Here is a 21,885-nt window from a genome sequence, read left to right as displayed (position 1 = left end):
TTTATTTCATTTCCTTTGCGTATGTACCCAGAAGGGGAATTGCTGGGTTATATGGTAATTCTATTTTTAATTTTTTAAAGAAACTCCCTATTGTTTTTCACCACCTGAACAGTATGTAAGGATTCTGTTTCTCCATAACCTCACCAACATATGTTATGTTTTTGATGATAGCCATCCTAATAGGTGTGTGATGATAACTCATGGTTTTTATTTGGATTTCCCTGATGATTAGTGATGTTGAGCATCTTTTCATATGCCTGTTGACCATTTGTATGTTTCATTTCAAAAAATGTCTATTTAGGTTCTTTGCCCATTTTTGTCAGACTTTTATTATTGTCATTTTGCTGTTAAGTTTGTGAGTTCCTTACATATTTTGAATATCAACTGCTTACCTAACAATATATGATTCACGAATGTTTTCTCTGAATCTGTTGGCTCTCTTTTCATTTTCTGCATTATTTCCTTTGTCCAGAAAATTTTTAGTTTTATTATACTTCCACTTGTATACTTTTGCTTTTGTGTCCTGTGCTCTTGGTGAGCTATCTAAAAATTATTGCCAAGATCAATATCAAGAAGTTTTTCCCTTATGTTTTCTTCAAGAGTTTTATAGTTAAAGGTATTATGTTTAGGTCTTCAATCCATTTTAAGTTTATTTTTGTGAATGTTATAAAATAAGTTCCAGTTTCATTATTTTGCGTTTGAGTATTCAAATTTCCCAACACTATTTGTTAAAGAGATGGTCATTCTCCCATTGTGTCTTCTTGATGCTCTTGTGAAAAATTAATTGACATAAATGCTTGGGTTTATTTCTGGGTCATCTATTCTCTTCCATCAGTTTGTACATCTGTTTTTATACCAGTACCATAGTTGTTTTTTAAAAATATTTTTAAAATATTTTTATATTTTAAAATCACTTTGTAATACAATTTGAAACCAGAAAGTGTGATGCCTGCAACTTTGTTTTTCTTTTTAAAGACTGTTTTGGCTACTTGATGTCTTTTGTGATTCCATAGAAGTTATAGAATTTTTGTTTTCTGTTTCTCTAAAAATGTAATTGGAATATTGATAAGCACTGTGTTGAATCTATGTGACTCTGGGTAGTATATATATATTTATTATATATATATCAGGCAGCTTCTGGAAGAGTGTGCCAACAAACCACTTCCAGGAATAAACTAGATTCTGGGGACCTATAGCTAGCCATGAGAAGTGCTCGCACACTCATTCAAAACCATCTGTTTGTTCTCTCTTCTCCAGGCAAACTCATGACTTCCAAGTTCCCTCCACTCCCTGAAGTAGGTGATTTAAGAGCCAAACCTTCTGACAGAAACTGTAAATGTTGCGGAACACTATATGTGGTCCAAACCCTTTATTCCTCAGGAAGAAGTTATCAGTTGTGGATTATTTCCCAATTGTATGACACTGTGCTTAGGATGCAGTTTGTGCATGAGTCTTTGCTTTCCCTACCCAATATGTGGATATTTTTTCAGTTTCCCAATGTGTAGGAGTCGCTCAACCACTTTCTGGCTCTCAGAGAGAATTGATCCATGTGGAAATGTTTATTCTCTGCATCTGTGGGAGAGAGAAAAGTAAGGAACCTCCTATTCCACCATGTTGCTGACATCAGTCTCTACAAATTCTGCTTCCAAAGGCAAGGAGGACCCAGCAGAGTTTAGAGGTAAACATCCCTAGCTTCATTAGGATCTTCCCATATTTCCTCATTCCAGTTTTTAGGATTTTGTTCTATCCTAATCGATGCTCTCATTTTAACAGAAGATATCCTATAAAATTGGGAATTCAACTTGCATTATAATTCAGCCACTCACAGGATGAGACTCTGGATATGGTTTTCAGCAATCTGAGCTAGTTTTCAGCAATTTGTAGCTATAGCAGACCAGGGTTTCTTTCAGGGTAGTCATAGAAAGTTTTAGGTCATTATGTGGCTCTTGGGCTGGAAATCTGAATTCCAAGCTCATACTTTTCTTTCCCCACTTTGTCTAACATAATAAGAGTAACCAGCTAATCTCATTACACTCATTACTTTGGCAAAAGTATGTTAAGGTATCAAAGACATGGTCACTCAGAAACCTGCTATTTTTAAGTATTTGATTAGGAGTATCCAGTGGTGATATTTTGTGTCCTATTGCCATATGATGCCACGGTATCAGTGCTCTCTTTGTTCTGTATCAAGTACCATATACCCTTTTATTCCTTTATTAGTAGCTGCACATGGTCAATATAGGTGAAAAGAACAAAAGAAACAAGGTATGTGGTAACTGCTGGGTGCCCCAGTGAGAGAGACACTGTGCTTTCTGTATTCCCTCTTCTGTATTATGTTAAGAAGCCAAATAAATGTAGTATTAGTTTAAAGTCTGTTTTGTCTAGTGAATTTATTATAGCCTGAAACTCACAATGATTGGGAGTGCCATAATAGTTACTTTTAGAGAATAAAATACAATTACTTCCATTTCTGAATTCATACGTTACATTATTAATATATTGCCATACCAGTTGTTAAATATACTGAATATCACCATGACTAGCACACAATTTGGGGTCTTCTCTCATAGTTCAGCTGAAAATATATGTTGAGGAAGTCAGAATTAAGGTGAAGGCATACTTCTATCTTCTATTTACTTTCCATTTCAATTTGTCTTGTGTGTGCAGGGTGGGGTGATAATTTTTATTTTGAACCTTCCGGAGCCATCTTGCTTTGGGTGTTCTTTTTTTTTGTAATATCTTTTTTTTTTAATTTTATTATTATTATACTTTAAGGTTTAGGGTACATGTGCACAACGTGCAGGTTTGTTACATATGTATACATGTGCCATGTTGGTGTGCTGCACCCATTAATTCATCATTTAGCATTAGGTACATCTCCTAATGCTATCCCTCCCTCATCCTCCCACCCCACAACAGGCCCCAGTGTGTGATGTTCCCCTTCCTGTGTCCAAGTGTTCTCATTGTTCAATTCCCACCTATGAGTGAGAATATGCGGTGTTTGGTTTTTTATCCTTGCGATAGTTTGCTGAGAATGATGGTTTCCAGCTTCATCCATGTCCCTACAAAGGACATGAACTCATCATTTTTTATGGCTGCATAGTATTCCATGGTGTATATGTGCCACATTTTCTTAATCCAGTCTATCATTGTTGGACATTTGGGTTGGTTCCAAGTCTTTGCTATTGTGAATAGTGCCACAATAAACATACATGTGCATGTGTCTTTATAGCAGTATCATTTATAATCCTTTGGGTATATACCCAGTAATGGGATGGCTGGGTCAAATGGTATTTCTAGTTCTAGATCCCTGAGGAATCGCCACACTGACTTCCACAATGGTTGAACTAGTTTACAGTCCCACCAACAGTGTAAAAGTGTTCCTATTTCTCCACATCCTCTCTAGCACCTGTTGTTTGCTGACTTTTTAGTGATAGCCATTCTAACTGGTGTGAGATGGTATCTCATTGTGGTTTTGATTTGCATTTCTCTGATGGCCAGTGATGATGAGCATTTTTTCATGTGTTTTTTGGCTGCATAAATGTCTTCTTTTGAGAAGTGTCTGTTCATATCCTTCGCCCACTTTTTGATGGGGTTGTTTGTTTTTTTCTTGCAAATTTGTTTGAGTTCATTGTAGATTCTGGATATTAGCCCTTTGTCAGAAGAGTAGGTTGCAAAAATTTTCTCCCATTCTGTAGGTTGCCTGTTCACTCTGATGGTAGTTTCTTTTGCTGTGCAGAAGCTCTTCAGTTTAATTAGATCCCATTTGTCAATTTTGCCTTTTGTTGCCATTGCTTTTGGTGTTTTAGACATGAAGTCCTTGCCCATGCCTATGTCCTGAAAGGTATTGCCTAGGTTTTCTTCTAGGGTTTTTATGGTATTAGGTCTACCATGTAAGTCTTTAATCCATCTTGAATTAATTTTTGTATAAGGTGTAAGGAAGGGATCCAGTTTCAGCTTTCTACATATGGCTAGCCAGTTTTCCCAGCACCATTTATTAAATAGGGAATCCTTTCCCCATTTCTTGTTTTTCTCAGGTTTGTCAAAGATCAGATAGTTGTAGATATGTGGCATTATTTCTGAGGGCTCTATTCTATTCCATTGGTCCATATCTCTGTTTTGGTACCAGTACCATGCTCTTTTGGTTACTGTAGCCTTGTAGTATAGTTGGAAGTCAGGTAGCGTGATGCCTCCAGCTTTGTTCTTTTGGCTTAGGATTGACTTGGCAATGCGGGCTCTTTTTTGGTTCCATATGAACTTTAAAGTAGTTTTCTCCAATTCTGTGAAGAAAGTCATTGGTAGCTTGATGGGGATGGCATTGAATCTATAAATTACCTTGGGCAGTATGGCCATTTTCACAATATTGATTCTTCCTATCCATGAGCATGGAATGTTCTTCCATTTGTTTGAGTCCTCTTTTATTTCATTGAGCAGTGGTTTGTAGTTCTCCTTGAAGAGGTCCTTCACATCCCTTGTAAGTTGGATTCCTAGGTATTTTATTCTCTTTGAAGCAATTGTGAATGGGAGTTCACTCATGATTTGGCTCTCTGTCTGCTATTGGTGTATAGGAATGTTTGTGATTTTTGCACACTGATTTTGTATCCTGAGATTTTGCTGAAGTTGCTTATCAGCTTAAGGAGATTTTGGGCTGAAATGACAGGGTTTTCTAAATATACAATCATGTCATCTGCAAACAGGGATAATTTGACTTCCTCTTTTCCTAATTGAATACCCTTTATTTCCTTCTCCTGCCTGATTTCTCTGGCCAGAACTTTCAACACTATGTTGAATAGGAGTGGTGAAAGAGGGCATCCCTGTCTTGTGCCAGTTTTCAAAGGGAATGCTTCCAGTTTTTGCCCATTCAGTATGATATTGGCTGTGGGTTTGTCATAAATATCTCATTATTTTGAGATATGTCCCATCAATACCTAGTTTATTGAGAGATTTTAGCAAGAAGGGGTGTTGAATTTTGTCAAAGGCCTTTTCCATATCTATTGAGATAATCATGTGGTTTTTGTCTTAGGTTCTATTTATATGATGGATTACTTTATTGATTTTTATATATTGAACCAGCCTTCCATCGCAGGGATGAAGCCAACTTGATCATGGTGGATAAGTTTTTGATGTGCTGCTGGATTCGGATTGCCAGTATTTCATTGAGGATTTTTGCATCAATGCTCATCAGGGATATTGGTCTAAAATTCTCTTTTTTTGTTGTGTCTCTGCCAGGTTTTGGTATCAGTATGCTGCTGGCCTCATAAAATGAGTTGGGGAGGATTCCCTCTTTTTCTATTCATTGGAATAGTTTCAGAAGGAATGGTCCCAGCCCCTTTTTGTACCTCTGGTAGAATTCGGTTGTGAATCCATCTGGTCCTGGACTTTTTTTGGTTGGTAGGCTATTAATTATTGCCTCCATTTCAGAGCCTGTTACTGGTCTATTCAGGGATTCAACTTCTTCCTGGTTTAGTCTTGGGCGGGTGTATGTGCCCAGGAATTTATTCATTTCTTCTAGATTTTCTAGTTTATTTGTGTAGAGATGTTTATAGTATTCTCTGATGGTACTTTGTATTTCTGTGGGATTGGTAGTGATATCCCGTTTATCATTTTTCATTGCACCTATTTGATTCTTCTCTTCTTCTTTATTAGTCTTGCTAGTGGTCTATCAATTTTGTTGATCTTTTCAAATAAAACAGCTCCTGGATTCATTGATTTTTTGAAGGGTTTTTTCTGTCTCTATCTCCTTCAGTTCTGCTCTGATCTTAGTTATTTTTGGCCTTCTGCTAGCTTTTGAATGTGTTTGCTCTTGCTTCTCTAGTTCTTTTAATTGTGATGTTAGAGTGTCAATTTTAGATCTTTCCTCCTTTCTCTTGTGGGCATTTAGTGCTATAAGTTTCCCTCTACACACTGCCTTAAATGTGTCCCACAGATTCTGGTATGTTGTATCTTTGTTTTCATTGGTTTCAAAGAACATCTTTATTTCTGCCTTCATTTTGTTATGTACCCAGTAGTCATTCAGAAGCAGATTGTTTAGCCTCCATGTAGCTGGGCGGTTTTGAGTGAGTTTCTTAATCCTGAGTTCTGGTTTGATTGCACTGTGGTCTGAGAGACAGTTTGTTATAATTTCTGTTTTTTTACATTTGCTGAGGAGTGCTTTGCTTCCAACTATGTGGTTAGTTTTGGAATAAGTGTGATGTGCTGCTGAGAAGAATGTGTATTCTGTTGATTTCGGGGGGAGATTTCTGCAGATGTCTATTAGGTCCACTTGGTGCAGAGCTGAATTCAATTCCTGGATATCCTTGTCAACTTTCTGTCTCATTGATCTGTCTAATGTTGACAGTGGGGTGTTAAAGTCTCCCATTATTATTGTGTGGGAGTCTAAGTCTCTTTGTAGGTCTCTAAGGACTTGCTTTATGAATCTGGGTGCTCCTGTATTGGGTGCATATATATTTAGGATAGTTAGCTCTTCTTGTTGAATTGATCCCTTTACCTTTATGTAACAGCCTTCTTTGTCTCTTTTGATCTTTGTTGGTTTAAAGTCTGTTTTATCAGAGACTAGGATTGCAACTCCTGCTTTTTCTTTGTTTTCCATTTGCTTGGCAGATCTTCCTCCATCCCTTTATTTTGAGCCTATGTGTGTCTCTGCACGTGAGATGGGACTCCTGAATACAGCACACTGATGGATCTTGACTCTATCCAATTTGCCAGTCTGTGTCTTTTAACTGGGGCATTTAGCCCATTTACATTTAAGGTTAATACTGTTATGTGTGAATTTGATCCTGTAATTATGATGTTAGCTGGTTACTTTGCTCTTTAATTGATGCAATTTCCTCCTAGCATCGATGGTCTTTACAATTTGGCATGTTTTTCCAGTGGCTGGTACCAGTTGTTCCTTTCCATGTTTAGTGCTTCCTTCAGTAGCTCTTGTAAGGCAGGCCTGGTGGTGACAAAATCTCTCAGCATTTGCTTGTCTGTAAAGGATTTTATTTCTCCTTCACTTATGAAGCTTAGTTTGGCTGGATATGAAATTCTGGGTTGAAAATTCTTTAAGAATGTTGAATATTGGCCCCCACTCTCTTCTGGCTTATAGAATTTCTGCGGAGAGATCCGCTGTTAGTCTGATGGCCTTCCCTTTGTGGGTAACGCGACCTTTCTCTCTGGCTGCCCTTAACTTTTTGTCCTTCATTTCAACTTTGGTGAATCTGTCAATTATGTGTCTTGGAGTTGCTCTTCTCGAGGAGTATCTTTGTGGTGTTCTCTGTATTTCCTGAATTTGAATGTTGGCCTGCCTTGCTAGGTTGGGGAAATTCTCCTGGATAATATCCAGAAGAGTGTTTTCCAACTTGGTTCCATTCTCCCTGTCACTTTCAGGTACAACAATCTGATGTAGATTTGGTCTTTTCCCATAGTCCCATATTTCTTGGAGGCTTTGTTCATTTCTTTTTATTCTTTTTTCTCTAAATTTCTCTTCTCGCTTCATTTCATTCATTTGATCTTCGATCACTGATACCCTTTCTTCCACTTGATTGAATTGGCTACTGAAGCTTGTGCATGTATCACATAGTTCTCGTGCCATGGTTTTCTGCTCCATCACGTCATTTAAGGTCTTCTCTACACTGTTTATTCTAGTTAGCCATTCGTCTCATCTTTTTTCAAGGTTTTTAGCTTCTTGTGATGGGTTTGAATATCCTCCTTTGACTCGGAGAAATTTGTTATTACTGATCGTCTGAAGCCTTCTTCTCTCAACTCGTCAAAGTCATTCTCCGTCCAGCTTTGTTCTGCTGCTTGCGAGGATCTGCATTCCTTTGGAGGAGAAGAGGCAGTCTGATTTTTAGAATTTTCAGCTCTTCTGCTCTGGTTTCTCCCCATCTTTGTGGTTTTATCTAACTTTGGTCTTTGATGTTGGTGACATACAGATGGGGTTTTGGTGTGGATGTCCTTTCTGTTTGTTAGTTTTCCTTCTAACAGTCAAGACCCTCAGCTGCAGGTCTGTTGGAGTTTGCTTGAGGTCCACTGCAGATCCTATTTGCCTGGGTATCACCAGCAGAGGCTGCAGAACAGCAAATGTTACTCCCTAATCCTTCCTCTGGAAGCTTCATCTCAGAGGGGCAACTGGCTGTATGAGGTGTCAGTCGGCCCCTACTGGGAGGTATCTCCCAGTTAGGCTACTTGAGTATCAGGGACCCACTTGAGGATGCAGTTTCTCCATTCTCAGATCTCAAACTCCATGCTGGGAGAAACACTACTCTCTTCAAAGCTGTCAGACAGGGACGTTTAAGTCTGCAGAAGTTTCTGCTGCCTTTTGTTCAGCTCTACCCTGCCCCCAGAGGTGGAGTCTACAGAGGCAGGCAAGCCTCCTTGAGCTGTGGTGGGCTCCACCCATTTCTAGCTTCCCAGGTGCTTTGTTTACCTACTCAAGCCTCAGCAATGGTGGATGCCCCTCCCCCAGTCTCACTGCTGCCTTGCAGTTCAATCTCAGACTGCCGTGCTAGCAGTGAGTGAGGCTTTGTGGGTGTGGGACCCTCCAAGCCAGCGCGGGATATAATCTCCTGGTGTGCTGTTTGCTAAGACCATTGGAAAAGCGCAGTATTAGGGTGGGAGTGTCCCAATTTTCCAGGTACCATCTGTCACGGCTTCCCTTTTCTAGGAAAGGGAATTCCCTAACCCCTTGCACTTCCTGGGTGAGGCAGTGCCCCGCCCTGCTTCAGCTCACACTCTGTGGGCTGTACCCACTGTCCTACAAGCCCCAGTGAGAGGAACCCGTTAACTTAGTTGAAAATGCACAAATCACCCATCTTCTGCGTTGCTCATGCTGGGAGCTGTAGACTGGAGCTGTTCCTAGTCAGCCCTCTTGGAACCTCCCTCATGTTTATTATTTTATAATGCAGCTTTTTAATATGCAGTTAGATCAAGTGCCACTGCCTTATCCTCTTTCTTTAATCAATTATTTTCATACTGAAATATGTTATTGTTGCCAAGTTTTAGAATCATATTTATAAAATTTCATCAACACCAAAAGCAATAATCAACCACTGGTATTTTGATTGGAAGTAAGTTATTTACCCATTACTTTTAAGAGTCTTTCACTCATGAGCATGAAATATCTCCCTATGTAGTCAACATTTCTTTAGTCATTAAAGTTCATTGTTTCCATCATATGAGGCCACATATTTCCTAGTGTTTATTTATCAGTTATTTTATTATTTTTGTGCTCTTTTCACTACTGGGATATATAGAAATGTTTTTGTTTTCCTTTGCCAAATTTGTGTTAGCCACATTGCTGAACATCATACTGATATTAAATTTTCTTTTATTTGATTCTTTTAAGCTTTAAAAGTCAAAATCTAATAATCTGTAAGTAATAATCGTGTTGTATCATTTCTTCTAATATTTATAATAACAGGTTTTCTTTTTTATTACATTGGTTATACATTTTACAACAATACTTACTTTAGCAGCAATAGGAATTTTATCTTATTTTTAACTTTAATTGAACATTTCATTTCATCATGAAACATGGTATTGGGATATTAGTAAGAGATTTTCTCCAACACGTTAAAAAAATCATTTGTTTCATTGTTTAAAAAAAATCAGGAACAGATGTATATCTACTCACAAAAAACGAAATTTATGAAAAAATAAACAATTAAGAAAACATGTAAATGTCATTTTTTCAATCAATTTTCAACATTTCTTGTCACTTAAAAATCTGAAATTGAGGAACATACCATAATTGTTAAGGTAACACAATTGCATGTTCTAAGAGTAATTTAAGAATTTCTGGTAGCCACAGAGAAATGGTAGCAAAAGAAATAGCAAGAGCGAAAGAAGAGTTTGCGTGAGAGGTTCAAGGAAACTATCTCATTATATACTTTAAAGCCAAATATAGTCAGATTCTTCTAAGATTTCCTATAGTTTTCCTGGAGTGATCACAACAGAATAAAGAGCTAGATTATCCGGGTTTGAAATCCATCTGTAATGATGTGACTTTAGGCAGTTACTCCATGTCTTACTCTCCTCATCTCCTAAATAGTAATAGTAGTAGTATTTCAGTATTTCCCTCATAGAAATTCTTTGTGGATTATTTATTAAATATTTGATAATAAAGGCTCAATAAATATTAATAAGAAAATGTTTGCTGTTATTATTGTAAGGGTCCAGATATAAAAATCAAAACTGGTTTGTTTAATATCTATTTATGACCACATTCCAAACTTATTCTTCTGAATATGAATATGACTATAACTTAAGGTTATTTGCTAATATTTTACACACTATGTGTTTCCACTTGGGCAATTTTATGTTTCTTAATTTGAAGCTCATCTTCTGATTTTGAGTCCATTGGCAAAAGACTTTTACCTATCATCTGAGCCACCTTCAGAGCTACAAAATAGATGTTTGAAATACATTGAAAAGAAAATACATCTACTCTAAAAACGTAAAACATATTGAGAAATGACATATTCCCTTCTTCATTTTATTAAGCTAGTAATTTCCCATATTAAATTGCATAGCTGAATAACCATCAATTAATCTCTTGTAAGTTGTAACAAAATTAGCACATGTGAACAAGTCAGTGGACTAAATACAAGTTGTCATCCCTCTCCTTTATTCAACTCAAAAACCTCAGGAAAAAAAATTACATAATAACAAATATGGAAAGTTAAGGACAGGGGTCTGAGACCAAGGTAAGTGAGAAGGTGCTAACTCTTAAGGAAAAATCTAGACATTGAAATACTTCAGAAATCTTATGGGTACAGATATGTAATATCATTGATATATTTTTAAATAATTAAGAGTATTTTAAATCATTATATACTCCCACTAATAACATTGAGAAGCAAACTTTTCACAGGCCTATTTCTATCTTTTCCCAATTTTTGTACTAGACTGCTTGTCCTATTTTATATATTAAGCCATTATTTGACACTGTATTGTAGTCACACAAAAGGGGGGACCTGAAAGACAATAGCAAGAAGAAATCCTTCTTGTGAACAGAAATTTGAGGAGTACAACTAAGACTCCACTATACGTGGGACTAGAGATGGTTTGAGATTTAGATTTACATTGATTTGTAGGCAGGAGCTAATGGAATTCGCCAGGTAATCAGTTGAAGACTTGGGGGAAAAAGGTTGAAAAAATGGTGACAGGCATGTCTTGGGGAGTTTTGTCTATGATTTTCCAGAATAGGATGATAGTGTATAAAGTTATCCATCCCCCATGTAAATGTGCATAGGAAGGCATTTACCATAGTGTTAGCTCTCAATTAGAGGGCTATAAATACTAGTCAACCTCATGCCTCAGCTACATTAGTGCTTATTCCATGGACTTAAGTACCAAGAGGCCACGGTGACACTGGCTTTTGAATAAACTTAATGGTATAGGGTTTTTCCTATCAAAAATAATATGGATATTGCCTCTGCTGAGTGCTGAAATTGTCAAAAGCGTAGGCCAAAGTTGAGCCTCCAAGTATAGCATCATTTTCCAGAAGAATTAGCAAAACATCTGGTTGCAGATGGACTACTGTAAATTTTCTATCATACAGAGGCAAGCGAACTGCCTTCAGTGAGTTAGGCATTTATTATAGGCACTGAATCACGTTCTCTGCCGATAGAACTTCTACCAATATTGTGGTTCATAAACTTGAAGAATATCTTTTCGACTGCCATAGTATCCTATACATCATCTCTAACCAGGGGCATGTTTTATGCAACTGATGTGTCATAATGAGTTCATGCCTATAAAATTCACTGGTATCAGCACAAGCCCCCATTACCCACAAGCAGCAAGTCTGATGGAACAGTGAAATGGCTAGGTGAAGTCTTGGTTACTATGACTTCTGATAGAAAACACCCTGAGAGGCTACAGTCTTGATTTACAGGATATCATATATGCTTTAAAATGAAAGCCAATATATGGCCCTATCTATGCCATAGCCTACCAATCTCATATCACATATGCCTTAATAACCCACTTAAAGAACTTTTACTTGATTTCCCAATGACTTTCATTAAGCAAGCTCCATGCAAAAGCATTCTTCCTGGTGCTCAAAGGAAGAATGCTCCCACCAAATATTCATGCTTCCAATAAACTAGAAGCTGAGACTGCCATCTTGGCATTTGGGATCCCATGCCATTAAATAAATCGACACAGAGAAAAAAGTTTCGGTACTGGCTTGATCTCAATAATTGGAAAGAAGTAAGTTTCTCCTAATTAATGGAGGCAAGAAGGACTAATTTTGATCCCTGGGGGTTCACTGGGCTACCTTTAAATACTCCCTTGCTCAAAATACTAGATAAATAGAGGACTGCAGAAATTTAACAAAACCACTAAGGTATCAGCTTTCATAACAATAAAGGTTTGGGTTACCTTACCAGATAAAAAAATATTGTGCAGCCAAGGTGGAGGCAAAGACTAGTGAGAACATGGAGGGGCAATGGAGGAAGGTAGCTATAATTAATTGCCTTCATAACTAGTTATAGAAATGGCAACTGTGGCAATGATTTCTGTCCATTAATTATTTCTTATACCACTACCCCCTTTTATCCTCTGCCACTTTATATAAAGAACATTGATGCTGAACAATGAATGTTGTAGGTTACAAATGGGAGTAAGACCCAGTTGAAATTACTCTGAAATATTATGGATTCTAATAGGGCTTAATGTTTCTTGGGTTGGAGACACATTTTCATCACCTGAATGATAAACAATGTGAGAATATTGAAGGCCAAACAAAGTAAACTGAGAAGACATCTCTTATTTTACCTTCCAGATTTACTCTCCAACTTTCTCCAGTTACTGTATGTTTCAAAGAGTGAACCTCCAAAGAGTGAATCAATGGGCTTGCTTGCTCTCTGGCTTCCAGGTGAATTCAGCCAGTGGAACCATGGCAGGAGATCAGAGGGAGGAAATACAATGAGATCAAGGAATGTATTTCCATGGTTTCTTCCCTGCAGCATCACAGCAGTGGGCATGTACCTTTCCCAGACCTCTTACCTCTTATTACACTACTCTCTCCATAGAGCTCTCTTTTACCTAGGTCTCCAATAACCATTCCTTCTCCTTTCCTCTTCAAGGTTAGGGGTAGTAACATTATCCCACTTTTTCTGCCTCGAGATTATTAAAGTTTTCCTTATGTTTTTGCTGGACACCCCTCCTTTGTAAAGAGTATGTCACTTTATTAAACTCAAATGAAACCCAATTTGTGCTATCTCTTTTCCAACAAGATCATGACTTATATACCCATAACTAGCAGACTGGATAAACAAACAGTAGTGCCTTCATACAGCAATGAAAATAAACAAAATATGGTTACATGTCTTACATTACATTAAATTTTAAAAAGCAAGATGAGAAAGGATATTTAGAGAATTATTTATTCTTAAAATCTTCAAAAATTATATTATAATTACATACTGAAATGGTAAAACTATTAGGTTGAACCACATGAATTTGTCATTTTCTTATAGGTCAAAAATAGTTGAATATTGGCAATTACATATGTTTTGACCAAAATAAGAGGAAACAAGAAAACTGTTATCTTAAAATCAATATAACTATTGCCACTGTGAGGATGGAGGAAATTGTGAGAGATACACTGAAGATTTTATGTGAGAGTAGAACTCTATTTCTTGACCTAAGTGGTGGTTATCCTAGTTTTGCTTCATGCTTATTTGTTAAAATTTACACGTAAGTCTTATGAAATTACCTGTAACATATTTTGTAGTAAACACTGTTTAAAAAGTAAACTTTAAAAAGAATACTTGCTCTCAAATATTTTCATTTTGGTATTTCATTCAATACATATTCAAGTTCTGAACAAGAGATACTTTTGTAGTTCACTATAAAAGAAAGACAAACTATATATTGTTTAACTGGACAAAAATATTTTCTCTAATTTTTGTAACAATCACATGTCCACAGTAAGTTGCACTGACATATTAAAATATAGTACATACTTAAAGCATAAAAATAAAGACAATAGTTCTCCTCAGTGTATACGTGAAAATCTGCTATTTCATAGATATACCTAGTTATTAAACAAATGAATTTATTACTTGATTCTCTTATGGTATACATATTTTAGAAAAAAGTTTAAATTATTAAAATAAGATAAATGACTGACACAAATGGAAGGATGCTATAAGTCACCAGTCCAAAAGAGAGCAATGAAGAGATAAATACCTTTTCTGAGGTAAGGAAGATAAAAAATTTTTTAAACGGACCTTCCAATTTCCAGTCTAACATGTAAAAATCTCAGAAACTGTCACTCCATCCTAACAACAAGTAAAAAGCTGAACAAGTTGAAAAATAACTCTTCTTAGATACTTCATAGAAAAGACGTCACAGGGCAAACTGCTGCCCCCAAAACTGGAGAAACAGGTAAAGATAGGGAATCACAACTTAATGAAGCAGAAACCTTTTTAACCAGGATAAGAAAACCTGAATTGCAATTAGTGAATTGCTGGAACCTCAGTGAGGACACGTCTGAAGGATAAAACCACCAAGGAGGCTCAGTTATAGGGAGTTTCCACACTTTTGTGAGTTTTGCCTCCAGGAGCTGTACCAGGTTCTCACAATGAATAGTGGAGAAAAAAATCCCTTTATGTTCCTAAGAGAGGGAAAGGAAAAAGGAACCACTTCAAAATATGCCAGAGCAGTCTGTTCTTCTTAACAAGGTCTGCTCTCAGGACACGTACTTTTTACCAGAGCCAAACCGACTAGGGTTTTATCAGAGCCTAACAAGCCTACATGAAGGGAAATACCCAACTCCAGCCCCGTCTAGCCATCCTGCCCCACATAAGAAGGGAAAAAACTGAGAAGCACTGGAGAAGTTCATAGTCCAGGGACACAGGATCACCAAAAGATTGAGATCTAACCATAAGATTATAGAAGACTTTTTTTCCCTCATACTTATTCGCCACAAAATTAGAGACCCATTTACTGGAGTTTCTTTTCCTAGTATATCATGTCTGGCTTTTAATAAAATATTACAATGCACACTAACAGACAAAAAAAAGTGAAGAGACAGAGCAAGCATTACAACTAAATTCAGATACAACAGGGATGTTGGAATTGTCAGACTAGCAGTTATGGCAAGGTTGCAGGATACAAGGTTAATGTACAAAAGTTACATGTTTTACTTTTTTTTTCTATTATTTTGGGTACATGTGGAGGTCTGTTAGATGGGTAAATTGTGTGTCATGGGAGTTAGGTGTACAAATTATTTTGTCACCCAGGTAGTGACAGCATATTACCTGATAGTTTTTTGATCCTCACCTCCACCCATTCTCCACCCTCAAGTAGGCCCCAGTGTCTATTGTTCCCTTCTTTGTGTTCATGTGAGCTCAATATTTAGCTCCCACTTATAAGTGAGAACATGTGGTATTTGGTTTTCTGTTCCTGCATTAATTTGCTTAGGATAATGGCTGCTAGCTCTGTCCATGTTGCTGCAAAGGACATGAGTTCATTCTTTTTATGGCTGCATAGTATTCTATGATATATATGTACCACATTTTCTTTATCCAGTCCACTGTTGATAGGCATCTTTGTTGACTCTATGTCTTTGCTATTGTCAATAGTGCTGTGATGAACATGCACATGCATGTGTCTTTATGGTAGGATGATTTATATTCCTTTGGCTATATAACCAGTAATGGGGTTCCTGGGTCAAATGGTAGCTCTGTTTTAAGTTCTTTGAGAACCAATCTCTAAACTGCTTCCCAGAGTGGCTGAACTAATTTACATTCCAACCAGCAGTGTATAAGCCTTCCCTTTTCTCTACAACCTCACTAGGATCTGTTATTTTTTACTTTTTAACAATGGCCATTCTGACTGGTATGAGATGGTATCTCATTGTGGTTTTGATTTGAATTTCTCTAATGATTAGAGATGTTAAGCATTTTTTTCATATGCTTGTTGGCCGCATGTATGTGTTCTTTTGAGAAGTGTCTGTTCATGTCTTTTGCTCATTTTTTAATGGGGTTGTTTTTTGCTTATTGATTTGAGTTCCATATAGATGCTGGATACTAGACCTTTGTTGGATGCATAGTTTGTGCATATTCTCTCCCATTCTATAGGTCGTCTCTTTACTCTGTTGATAGTTTCTTTTCTTGTGCAGAAGCTCCTTAATTTAATTAGATTCCACTTGTCAATTTTTGTTTCTGTTGCAATGCTTTTGGGGTCTTTGTTATGAAATCTTTGCCAGGGCATGTGTCCAGAAGGGTATTTCCTAGGTTTCCTTCTAGGGTTTTTATAGTTGTAGGTTTTACATTTAAGTCTTTGATCCATCTTGGGTTGATTTTTACATGTGGTGAAAGGAAGGGGGGTCCAGTTTCAATCTTCTTCCTATGGGGCCAGGCCTGTGGCTTTTCTCTCTGGCTCCTTGAGGTTAAACACCTGCTATGCTTGCAGGGGCCAAGGGTCTCCCAGTCTGCTGGCAACAACACTCAGTTGGGGGGGTCCCAGCAAAGTGCTTTGTCAGGGTGGTGGTGACAGCAGGGTCCCCGCATGTGCCAGTGGTGACTAGGCAGCAGCACTGTGGATTCTGCACATGTGCATGTGCTGGCTGTGACAAGGCAGCAGCGTAGTGCTGTCTGCAGATGCATGCCAGCAGTGGTGCTATGGGGTCCTTGTGTGCGCATGCCAGCTGTGGCCTGATGGCATCCATGTGCACATGCTGGCAAAGCATTGAGGGGAGGCTGAAAGTTAGTGCACAATGACAAAGTGGTGCGAGGAGGCTGCAGGTGGGTGCACATTGGTGGGGTCCCTCTGCAGAAGCTTTCTGATGGTTAGCCGAGGTCTGCTGGCAAAGGCACCATGGCAGTGGCCACCAGGAAGCACCACAATTGGGCATTGGAGACTGTGTTGCAAGTAGACATAGCCAGGCAGGGACCCCAGGAGAGGCTGGCAGACAGGGAGGTGTGCAGATAAGATTGGCCCGATGTCACTGACAGCTCTGCTTTGTCCAGGCCTGACAGTTAACAAAGGTCAAAGCCACCTAGAGAAGCATGGCAAGCCTTGAGGGATGGGCATCGCTGGCCATGCTCCACTGTAGTCATTGCAGCGCCAAACCCTCTGGAATCCACACAGCCTAGACCCCTGTCCCTGCCACCTCTTAAAGCAGCTCTCCCTGCCAGCTCAAATGTCTATCAGGACAATAGGGTCTTCTGCAGCTAGGATTCTGGAGGTGCATGGTGAGATAAGACCACTCCTCACCTATTTAACTCACCCTTTCCCCAAAAATTTCTGGGGACCAAGAATGAGTCCTGATGCTTGGCAGCCCTGTGCAGGCTTCCCAGCTTCCTACTCCTTCAGCCCAGGGTCTACATCCTCCCTCTGTCCACTCTCAATGCCGTCCTTCCAAAGACATGCTCAGAGTGTGTCCGTCTTCTTGATGGTCTGGTCTCTCAGTGGGAGATGCTCTTCCTGGCTGTGTCTGGTCAGCCATCTTGGGTCTTCTCCTCAAAAGTCAATTGTTTTCCTTTATGCCAACAATGAACAAGTGGAATTTGAAATGAAAAACACAACATCAATTACAACAGTGCCCCCCAAAATTGAATACTTAGGTATAAAGCTGACAAAATACATATAAAATCTATAGTAGAAACTACAAAACTCTGATAAAAGAAATCAAGGAAGAACTAAATAAATGGAGAGAGATTATATGCTTAGAGTTAGGATGACAATATTTTCAAGGTGTCAGTTCTTCCTTAGAGATTCAATGTAATCCCAGTCAAAACCCCAGCAAGTTATTTTGTGAATATTGACAAACTAATTCTAAAGTTTATATGAAGAGGCAAAATACCCAGAATGGCTGACATTATTTGGATATTTGTCCCCTCCAAAGGTCATGTAGAAACTGGATCACCAATATTGGAGGTCGTAGCTGGTGTTAGGTATTTAGGTCATGAGGGCAGGTCCCTCATGAATGTCTTGGTGCTGCCCTCATAGTAATAATCAGTGAGTTCTCATTCTACTAGTTTCCTATAGATCTGATTGTTAAAAAGAGCCTGACAACTCCTCCCATCTTTCTTTTGCTCCCTCACTTGTCATGTAATATGCTGGCTCTCCTTCCCCTTACATTGTGAGTTAAAGCTTCCTTAGACCCTAAGCAGATGCTGACACCATGCTTCTTGTATAGTCTGCAGAACTGTGAACCAAATAAACCTGTTTTCTTTATAAATTACCCATCCTCAGATATTCTTTTATAGCAATGCAAAGGAACTAAGACAAGAGACAACACAATGTTGAAGGAGAAGAACCAAGTTAGATGACTGACTTATTATTAGCTACAGTAGTCAAGACAGTGTGGTCTTATAAAAAGAATAGACAAATAGATCAATGGCACAGAACAGAGAGCCCAGAAGTGGATTCACACAAATATGGTCAACCAATTTTAATGAAGGAGCAAAGGCAATTTGATGACGAAAGGAATATCTTTTCAACAAATGATGCTGGAGTAACAAGTCATCCATATGCAATAAAATATAAATCTAGATACAGACCTTATACCCTTCACAAAAACTAACTCAAAATGTATCATAGGTCTAAATAGAAAATGGAAAACTATACAACTTCTAGAAGATAATATAAAAGATTCCTAGGTGACATTGGGCATGGAGATGACTTTATAGACAAAATATGAAAGACAATCAACAACAAAGAAGAAATTGATAAGCTGGACTTAATTAAAATTCAACAACTTCTGCTCTGTAAAAGACACTGTGAAAAGAATGAAAAGTCATGCCACAGGTTGGGAAATTACATTGCAAAAGACATATCTGATAAAAGACTGTTACCCAAAATATGCAAAGAACTCTTAAAACTCAATATTAAAACAAACATCCCATTTGAAAGATGGGCAAAATACCTTAACAGACATCTTACCAAAGAAGACATACAGATGATAAGTAAGCATATAAAGAGATGTGTAACATATATGTCATTAGGAAATTGTGCATTAGAACAACAATGAAACACAATTACACAGTTATTAGAATGGCCTAACTCCAAAAAACTGACATAAATGCAGAAAAGAACGTGTAGCAACAGGAATCTTCATTCATTGCTGGTGAGAATACAAAATGGCATAGCCACTCTGGAAGACACTTTGGCTGTTTCTTTTTTTTTTTTTTTCACCAGCAGGAAAATGTTTATTCATTTGCTTAATTTCTAACAGTATTTTCTGCTACGGTAATATTTTGTTAGTCTCTCTACATTTAATCTGGCATCTGATCAACTGGATTTATGCTTTTTAGCAAACAGTATAGGCTTTGAACATTTAGTATCTCATTCACATTATTTGTTCTTAGATTTAGTACCCATATAGCCTGTTGGCCATGTTATTTTCTTTTTTTTTTCTTTTTTTTTAAATTATACTTTAAGTTCTAGGATACATGTGCACAATGTGCAGGTTTGTTACATATGTATACATGTGCCATGTTGATGTGCTGCACCCATTAATTTGTCATTTACATTAGGTATATCTCCTAATGCTATCCCTCCCCCCTCCCCCCACCCCACAACAGGCCCCGGTGTGTGATGTTCCCCTTCCTGTGTCCAAGTGTTCTCATTATTGAATTCCCAGCTATGAGTGAGAATATGCGGTGTTTGGTTTTTTGTCCTTGCGATGGCTTGCTGAGAATGATGGTTTCCAGCTTCATCCATGTCCCTACAAAGGACATGAACTCATCCTTTTTATGGTTGCATAGTATTCCATGGTGTATATGTGCCACATTTTCTTAATCCAGTCTATCACTGATGGACATTTGGGTTGGTTCCAAGTCTTTGCTATTGTGAATAGTGCCGCAATAAACATACGTGTGCATGTGTCTTTATAGCAGTATCATTTATAATCCTTTGGGTATATACCCAGTAATGGGATGGCTGGGTCAAATGGTATTTCTAGTTCTAGATCCTTGAGGAATCACCACACTGTCTTCCACAATGGACTAAAGACTTAAATCTTAGACCTAAAACCATAAAAACCCTAGAAGAAAACCTAGGCAATACCGTTGAGGACATAGGCATGGGCAAGGACTTCATGTCTAAAACACCAAAGGCAATGGCAGCAAAAGCCAAAATTGACAAATGGGATCTAATTAAACTAAAGAGCTTCTGCACAGCAAAAGAAACTACCATCAGAGTGAACAGGTAACCTACAGAATGGGAGAACATTTTTGCAATCTACTCATCTGACAAAGGGCTAATATCCAGAATCTATAAATAACTCAAACAAATTTACAAGAAAAAAACAAACAACCCCATCAAAAAGTGGCTGTTTCTTAAAAACTAAACCTATTCTTGTCATATAATCCAGCAATTGCACTACTTGATATTTACCCAAATGAATTGAAAACATGTCCATATACAAACCTGCACATGGATGTTTACAGCAGCTTTATTCATAATTGCCACAACTTGGGGAAAAAACCCATAACATTCTTCAGTAGGTAAATAGATACATTAACTGTGGTATATCCAGAGTATTCAGCACTACTCAGGGCTAAAAGGAAATTAGCCACTAGGCCACTGAAGAAATGGAGGAACCTTAAAATGTATATTACTAAGTTGAAATAAGCCAATCTGAATTTTATCTCTCAACTTTATATGTCAAAACTCTAATCTCTAATGTGACTGTATTTGGACATATGCCCTCACGGAGATAATTAAGGTAAAATGAGATTGTAAGAGTGGACTCCTAATCTTACAGAATTGGTGGCCTTAAAAGAAAGACTACATGAAGGTACAGTGAGAAGGTGGCTATCTACAACTAAGGAGAGCCCTTCTTCACCAGTCAGCACATTGATCTTGGACTTCCCAACCTTCAGAACTGTGAGAAAATAAGTTCTGTTGTTTCAGCTACCTAGTCTATGGTATTTTGTTATGGCAGCCTGAGCAGACAAAGACTGCTACATACTGTATGATTCCAACTGTTAGACATTCTGAAAAAAGCAAAATCATGGACACAACAAAAAGGTCAGTGGTTGTGAGGAGTTAGGGGTAAGGGAGAAATAAATAGGGAGAGCACAAAAGATGTTTAGGGCAGTGAAACTATTCTGTACGATACTATAATGATCATATACATGTCATCACACATTTGTCAAAACCCAGAATACGAACACCAACAGTGAACCCTAAAGTAAACTATGGACTTTGGGTGATAATGTGGTGTCAGTGTAGGTTCATTGGTTATAACAAATGTTTTACTCTGGTGCAGGATGCTGACAGTGGGGAGTCTGTGTGGGGGGAATGGCAGAAGGCACAGAGGAAATCTGTACTTTCTGCTCAATTTTGCTGTGAACTGAACCTAAAACTGCTCTAAAAATAAATTTTATAAAAATGGAATATTTAATCTCAAAGATATTAGTATTTACAGTAAATATAAATGCATCTAAATTCTAGTTAAAAGGAAAAGATGTTCACATTGGAACAAAAAATTCTAACTATATGTTGTTCATGAGAACTGGCCTTATAAGAATACATCACATAAATACCAACATAAAGTAAGTTGGTGTAGATACATTAATATCAGATAAAATAGGCCTTTAGGCAAAAAACCTAACTAGAAATGAGAAGGAACCTTTCATAAATACAAAAGTTCAGTTCATAGGAAGATATAACAAATTTAAATGTGTAACGTGTATGTTGAAATAGGAGAACATCAAAAGAGGTAAAGCAAATATTGACAAAATCACACAGAGTAATAGAGAAATTCACACTCACAATGGGAGAATTGAACATATTCTTTCAATAATTGATGAAACAAACATTACCAGTTGTAAGAGAAATGGAAGATTTAAATAATACAATTAACGAATCTCACTAACACATTTTTTTCATGTTTGGGAGGAAATACAGTTGATACTTGAACAACATGAGTTTGAA

General features: G+C 37.6%; 1 protein-coding gene and 1 long non-coding RNA gene across 44 annotated transcripts in view; one reads left to right on the top strand and one right to left on the bottom strand.

The window, feature by feature from the left end:
- The window catches only part of CCDC7 (coiled-coil domain containing 7), a 439,541-nt gene that overhangs the window by 119,357 nt on the left and 298,299 nt on the right, over positions 1–21,885 (bottom strand). Inside the window, exon 30 of one of the 43 annotated variants that reach the window (XM_011519686.3) lies at positions 13,356–17,479. The exons of the other annotated variants lie outside the window; for them this stretch is intronic. Coding sequence (XP_011517988.1) covers positions 17,439–17,479 — 41 coding nt within the window. The 3' untranslated portion in view covers positions 13,356–17,438. Of the gene's footprint in view, positions 1–13,355; positions 17,480–21,885 lie in introns of those variants that run through there. 43 annotated transcript variants of the gene reach the window in all.
- LOC124902406 (uncharacterized) lies at positions 1,491–13,198 on the top strand. Its single transcript, XR_007062106.1, has 2 exons — positions 1,491–1,678; positions 12,770–13,198. It is a non-coding gene; the product is annotated as an uncharacterized LOC124902406 (long non-coding RNA).

This window comes from Homo sapiens, chromosome 10 (genome assembly GCF_000001405.40).
Source record: "Homo sapiens chromosome 10, GRCh38.p14 Primary Assembly".
Taxonomy (NCBI): domain Eukaryota; kingdom Metazoa; phylum Chordata; class Mammalia; order Primates; family Hominidae; genus Homo; species Homo sapiens.
This window is presented reverse-complemented; position numbering and strand designations above follow the sequence as displayed.